Source organism: Homo sapiens, chromosome 7 (genome assembly GCF_000001405.40).
Source record: "Homo sapiens chromosome 7, GRCh38.p14 Primary Assembly".
NCBI classification, from domain to species: Eukaryota; Metazoa; Chordata; class Mammalia; order Primates; family Hominidae; genus Homo; species Homo sapiens.
The window spans coordinates 42,339,480-42,346,282 of NC_000007.14; the positions used below are offsets into that span (position 1 = coordinate 42,339,480).

Here is a 6,803-nt window from a genome sequence, read left to right on the forward strand (position 1 = left end):
CAAGAAATTTTGTTGAACTGAATGACAATTTTGTGAGGATTATCAGTGATTCAAAAATAATAGCAGAAAAACCCTGAATTTTCCATGTCGGCATGGATGTCTTCACTATGACGTGCTGTATAGAATCAAAGAGCACCAGGAGAATATCAAATATATGCCACATTGAAGACAGAGAAGAGGAGAGAGCTGTCACTCTCAGATGAATATTAATACAGCTACTACAACTGCATGGTTCAGTATATTCCAAAGGGCTTTGTGATACCAACTCTGGCACTAAAAAACTGTGGTTGTATTCTGTCAAATCCACACATGACTTTGAAAGCATGTGACTATTCAATATTCACTTTTGAAATAGCCAACTAAATTAAACTCTCCATGAGGAAATGGTTTTTGTGTAGCCAAACATCTCAGTGCAATTCATCAAGGTAAACATTTGATTCAGGGATTGCAAATAAGGCAGTTGCTGTCACCAAATTTGTAGGCAAAATTGCACAGAGTACAAAATCAATTAGACTTTTCCTCCTATTCTACTTTTGGGTGCATTTCACTCCCTTTTGGCTTCTCAGGATGCCAGTTATCTTGACTGCAGATTCTAGAAGTCCTTAGGCAGGCCAGGCCCATTCCTGTACTATAGTATCACACTTAAATTTCTTCTTCCCCCAGAAATCTGCTATTTTACAGTAATTTTCCTTCCTACCCCCAATTCCATTCCCACAAAATCCTCATTCATTAAGACTCAGGCAAATGGCAAAGTGTTTAAAATAATTCACACTAGAAGACAAACTTGCAGGGAGTTATCTACAATTACGGAGGGGCGCTTCACAAACGGATCTTTGCCTCCCCTGGGCCCTCTCTCTCCCGCCTTACTCCTTGCCTTTCTCTGCCTCTGATTTTCTTTTGTTTTAAAAAAGCAACCTAGGACTTCTGGGTAAGAATGTGATGTCAGCACAAGTGTCTAATTCCTCTCCTTCCAGATCCCCATTAAAATGACCAATAGGTATAAAAATAAGAGAAAAAACTGCTCCAGTGCTGACACTTGGAAAGCCTAAACTTGCACACCGAATCTCCAACAATTTCTGTTAGATGAGAATGAATCGAAAGAAAAGGCGGACTCATGACTCACCCTAAGTGGAAGAGGGGCAGTGTGCAGACAAAGCGAGTGTAGAGACACAGATGGAACCCTGTTAATAGCCCTTAGGTTAAAGGAGCAAGGGCTGGACATGAGGTTAGACCATCAGGAGGTCAGGAGAACATCTGGAATCCTTCATCCTGTTTGAAAAGTGTGAGCTGCTCCTGGGGGAAGCTATTGCAATGGGGCTTACCCACAGCCCAACTACCTAATCCGAAACCTAACCCTAACCCAGCCGTGCCACAGGACGGGGACGCGGGTAGGGGCAGCGGGTGATGAATGTTTTTGTGCTCAGAGCCTCAAATGCATCTCAGCTTATTTCCTAAGGATACACTCTTGAAAAGAGAATGATCAGGCCCCAAACTGTGAACATTTTTCTGATTACTAATTAGAAAATTGCTCCACAAAAAGATTGTAACAATTTACACCTCCACTAAACAGCAAACTGCAGTCCCCTTTTCACCAACCCTCACCAGTGTCAGACATTAACAACAGATAAAAAATGACAACTTATAGTTGTTTAATTTATACTGAGTATTAAGAAAGTTGAATTCTTCTCTCTTTTAATGTGCTTTAGACATTTGCATATATTTCTTCTTTTTTGAATTTCCCTTGCCCATTTTTCTTTTTCATTTTGGGGCCCATCCATTTCATATTGATTTGTGAGACTCTTGTCTATAAGGGAAGGTAACACTTTCAGAGAAAGAATGCGATCCCAGTTCTTCCTTTCAATGTTTTAAGGCAGAGAAAACTTGGTTTCTAGGGGTTAAACAATAAAAGTGCACCCATGTAAACAAGTCCCGCGGTATAAACTTACCAGTATAATTCGCAGCCTTCTTCCTTATCCTTTTTCTGGGTCTGATTGTTTTAAGAGATGCTCTGATTTCATGCTATTTTGTGTTTAGCTTTTGTTGTTGTTATTTTTTGATTTTTTTTTTAGAATGAGTATCTGGGTATATGTACAGGGGTCATATTTTGTGAACTTCACATCAAATCACCTTGTCTGATAAATGAGAAGAACAAGACACTTAAAAAAAAAAAGGAAGCAACAGAAATTTATTTTCCTACAGTTCTGGAGGCTGGCAGTCTGGCATCAAGGTATCAGGGCAGGGTTAATTTGACTTGTAGATGGTTGTCTTCTGTTTTCACGCGGTGGGCACTTTTCTTTTAGGCAATACCTCCAAAAGAATAGGATGATGCTTGTCGTATGTTCATTTTAATTTTTCCAACAATATTAGCAAACCCCGGCCTAGCAAGGTGTCACAAATAGGTGCTTGATATGTAAGAGATTATTGGGTAAGTGTTAAGAGACTGAGGAGCATGTCCTAAGCAATGAGGACAAATGAGCAGGGGACAGAGGGCCCCCAAAAGGGAAGTATTCTGCCTGTAAGAAACTACAGGTATGGGGCACATATACACCATGGAATACTAAGCAGCCATAAAAAAGAATGAGTTCATGTCCTTCGCAGGGACATGGTTGAAGCTGGAAACCATAATTCTCAGCAAACTACTACAGGAACAGAAAACCAAATACCGCATGTTCTCACTTATAAGTGGGAGCTGAACGATGAAAACACATGGACACAGGGAGGGGAACATCACACACTGGGGCCTGTTGGGGAGCGGGGAGCACAGGGAGGGAGAGCATTAAGACAAATACCTAATGCATGCAGGGCTTAAAACCTAGATGACAGGTTGATTGGTGCAGCAAAGCACCATGGCACATGTATACCTATGTAACCAACCTGCACATTCTGCACATGTATCCTAGAACTTAAAGTTAAAAAAACACAGGTAAACATTGCCTAATTTATAGCTTTACTTCAGGAGACTTAAGTTTCAGGGCAGGTAGAGCGAATTCCACACTTAAATATATTCTGTATGGTTCACTAGGAGTTTTCACAGTCATCGCTTGCAGCTGAACACTACTCAAGTTCCTATTAATAGCCATGCTCAAAATGGTCCTACAACTCAGCCTCTGGAGCCTACGACTTTAAAATGCCTGAGGCCAGCTGAGCAGAAGGCTGTGGCTGCTGTGTCCAGTGAAATCCTTATGGCTCTTAAGTTTGGCTGGCATTTTAAAAAGTAAGCTGAGAGTTTCTGTGATTTCCTTCTGAAAAATGCAAAAGAAGTGGCTTCTGTGGGACACCTGGATATCTTATTCTTTACTTACTACTGCTGCAAATGCTTTACAGATCTTCCATTGTGAGGCTGCAGAGAAGGGGGAGAGCTCCTGCCCTGGAGGTATTTCTCTCATCCCATTTGAGGACCCTAATGAAATGTGCTGGTTTCAGAGCTGTAGCAGCTTGCAGTTCTCCACAATTGAATTCCACTCTCTAATGAGTTCCCCTAAATCTGCCATCAGATGACTTTATTGACTTCAGATCGTAATTAACCAACACTCACTTTTTGCAGTTATTTTGATTTTTTCCCCCATTCTGTGTTTGAATGTCTGGATCCAACCTAAGTCATATTTTCCGACAGATACTTAATGATCCAACACCAACAAGGGATGCTGTCTCTTCTCGTCACTTCTGAAAGAAATATTACGGGAGTGGGAAGTGGGGAAGCAGCCTGGAGTATTTTCCAGAACCACTTGATGTCTGAAAAAGTAAGTAGTAGGAAAGAGACCCTTCAATGGGTAATTGACACTGTTTGTGATGTTTTTATTACTTTTCAATTAGGGGAGGTGATAGAACATTCTGTGAGCAGAAAGGCTTGGCTTCATTAGAAGCACATGCTGGCTAAAGTTGTAGATGGACAAGGCTAACTCAGTTGCCACCTTTTCCTTTTTACTTGTTAGCAGACTGAGATAAAGTCTGTGATAAATAAGCAGTTAGAAAAAGATCTCCTTGTTTGTTCTAAAGAGATGCATTCTCTTCAGCTTCCCCATCATTTGTTTAAATTTGGCTTCCAGACTATCCAGCACAATGCCTGAGTTGGAAAACGCTCATTAAACAGACATTGCATTTTAACCCATGTGCGCAGCACGCCACACAGCCTGCGTGCCTTTTGTAAAGTGTTCTTTGTAATGTGGAGCAGATAGATTTAAGTGCTTCACAATTAAGAGTCGGAACCTAGCACCTAGGGGATATAGATGAGTCAATTAATTAGTGAGGCAGTCTTTATTGGGCAGAGCAATGAGTCCCATTTTCCTGATGGGATATTTGTGGCCCAGAGGAAATTAAGATCAGTTCAGCATACGGGCTAATTGCACAGATGTCACTTAAAAGTAATTAACATCCTTTCCTCTAAAGCCAGGTTTCTGCTCTCCAGCCCTTATTCCTAATAATCCCAACATGTCCTTAGTAATCCCTGTCCCACCTCTCACCACCGTGTATCCTGGGACAATTTGACTTCTCTGAACCTCAGTCTCCTAATTTGTACAGTGACAGATGAAGAAACCTAACCTTCCAAGGTTTTCGTGAAGGCTAAGTGAGGTACTATTGGTAAAGTCTTAGGACATTGCTTGCTGGCACAGATTAATTATTTAGCATAGGAATGCAAATAATAAACAGTAATATTAAGAATGATAATCAGAATTTCATGCTTGCACATGAGAAACCCACTGGGTTTGGGGTCCCAGAACTACGTTGGTCCCAGTAAGGACCCAGTGGGAGTGCCCACCTCTGTAACCAGAGTTACAGGGCAAACCAAAGAGTAAGGATGGTACTTCTCAAATTCAAGCACCAGTCTGTGCATAACATCTCAGTCAGTAAGACAGGGCTCAGGGGCCTGGCCAACACACTCGTGAACTTGGCCACTGCCATTCTGGTTTGGATTATTTCAGATGGCTTCTCTGGGCAACTTCCACTCTAAATTTGAAGCACACCTTGAGGGTACTCATGTTGAAGTTCAAAGGAGTCTGGTAACTGATTAAAAATGTATTTCCCAGTTTGCAGCTCCTTCTGTTCTCTCTCTAAACAAGGAAATGGCCAGAAGCAGAAGGCCTCAGGAAGGTGACAGGAAAGGGCAGCCCAGGAGCAGGGTGGGGGTGGGGATGGGCAGTGTGTATTTTAGCTCAATTTGAGCCCTGTCTTGCCGACTCAGATGTTATGCACAGACTGGTGCTTGAACTTGAGGAGCACCATCCTTATTCTTTGGTTGTAGATCTTGTGGGCCCAGAGCCCATCAGCTCTTGGCCATACCTGGCCTGGGTCAGTGCATGAGGCTGGGCATTGGAGGTTCGAAGCTGTGCATGTGTTGGCTATGATTGAATGGATCCACTGCTTGCAGTTGTCATTTAAATGATGATTGTTTAAATTATTCCTTGATCAGCATCTGACTGACTGGAGTCTTCAGTCTGGAACTGGTCTCCTAGAGTCACATTGCAGCCACCTAGAGCCCCTGGAGGCTGGAAGGGTTGAGCAGGAGTCTAGCAAGACTTGCTGGAGTATAACTGCTCAGGGACATTGCCTGAATAAGGTCGCTCTTTGGAATTAAGAAAGAATAAAGCTGCATGGGCATATTATTAAAAAAACGTTGTGTTCTTTCAAAACAGAGTCCTGTGTGCAGGCCTTCAACAGACTGAGACTGTGAATGATAATTCTTCATTGTTCAAATTTTTCCCAAAAACTCTGCTGAAATGTGGATCAGCAGCCACATCACAAAGATTCTCATTTGCTCCATTTGGAGAAACATAGAGTAGAGAGGTTGCCAGAGAGCCTTACAGCTTTGCAGCCTTGGTCAAGTTCTGGGCTTCTAGATGGGCATGGGATCTTGGGAAAGTTACTTCACCTTTCCAAGCCTCTGCTTTCTCTTCTACAAAATGGGGAAAATAATGCTTATTTCAGGGGTTTGCGAGATGGATGAAAATAGGTACTGCAATTGTCCTTGGCACAGGGACAATGAACTCAGTAGGTGCTCAGTATAAGGCAGTTATTGATGGTGTTGATAGTAACACTTTATTAAATAATATAGTTGTGATAAAGAAGAAAAGTGATAGAGCCTTGAGGGGCATCAGGAACAGCAGTGTTCTGGGCTTACTAAACCATAGCTCCTTCAATCCTCACCCCATCCTGCCAGGGGGGTATTGTTAGGCATTCTGCTCAGAGAGAAAGGGAGCTGGCATATGTGAAGTGGCTTGCATATGTGAAGTGGCTTACATATTCAATGGCTAGGAAGCAAAGGAGCCAGGATTCAGACCCAGGGCTGTCTCACATGACAGCTCTTGCTGTTTCCTATAACAGTGCAGCACCCATCCCTTTCCCAAGTCACATAGAAAATTAGTCCATCAGCTGAGGTGTGGCTTGTTCTACTGGCCCCCCTCTGGGGAAAGCACAACCTCCCTTCTGGTTTAAGCTGCTTTTGCTCTTGTTTTCCAAGCATGTTCTTCAATCTCCCTGTATTCCTTCTTTACCTAATTAAGATGTACTCATTCTTTTCTAAGTGAGTTGAACTGTGACTTTTCTGATCTTCAGAGCTGGGCTAATGGACCTTCTTGAATTCCCAAACCAATTGCTAAACACAGCTCTTTCATCACACCTGCCTCTCTGGCTTGGAATAATCTATTTATAGATCTGTCTTCCTACTAGACTGTAAGCTCTTGGAGGGTTATGTTTATCCTTTTCCTCCAGTACCTAACATAGGGCCTGACCACTATAGAAGCTCCATATGTGTTTATTAAATTAAGCTAAACTTAAGTCGACTTGGAGATGTACTTCTGAAGTTCATG

At 42.3% G+C, this 6,803-nt stretch overlaps 1 annotated feature.

Annotated features, from left to right (window-relative positions):
- Positions 6,071 to 6,365: a silencer, noted in NCBI's record as "tiled region #1141; HepG2 Repressive non-DNase unmatched - State 24:Quies, and K562 Repressive non-DNase unmatched - State 24:Quies". NCBI's record gives its function as "represses a minimal TATA promoter and a strong SV40 promoter by Sharpr-MPRA in HepG2 and K562 cells {active_cell/tissue: HepG2 | K562}" and the evidence as "EXISTENCE:reporter gene assay evidence [ECO:0000049][PMID:27701403]".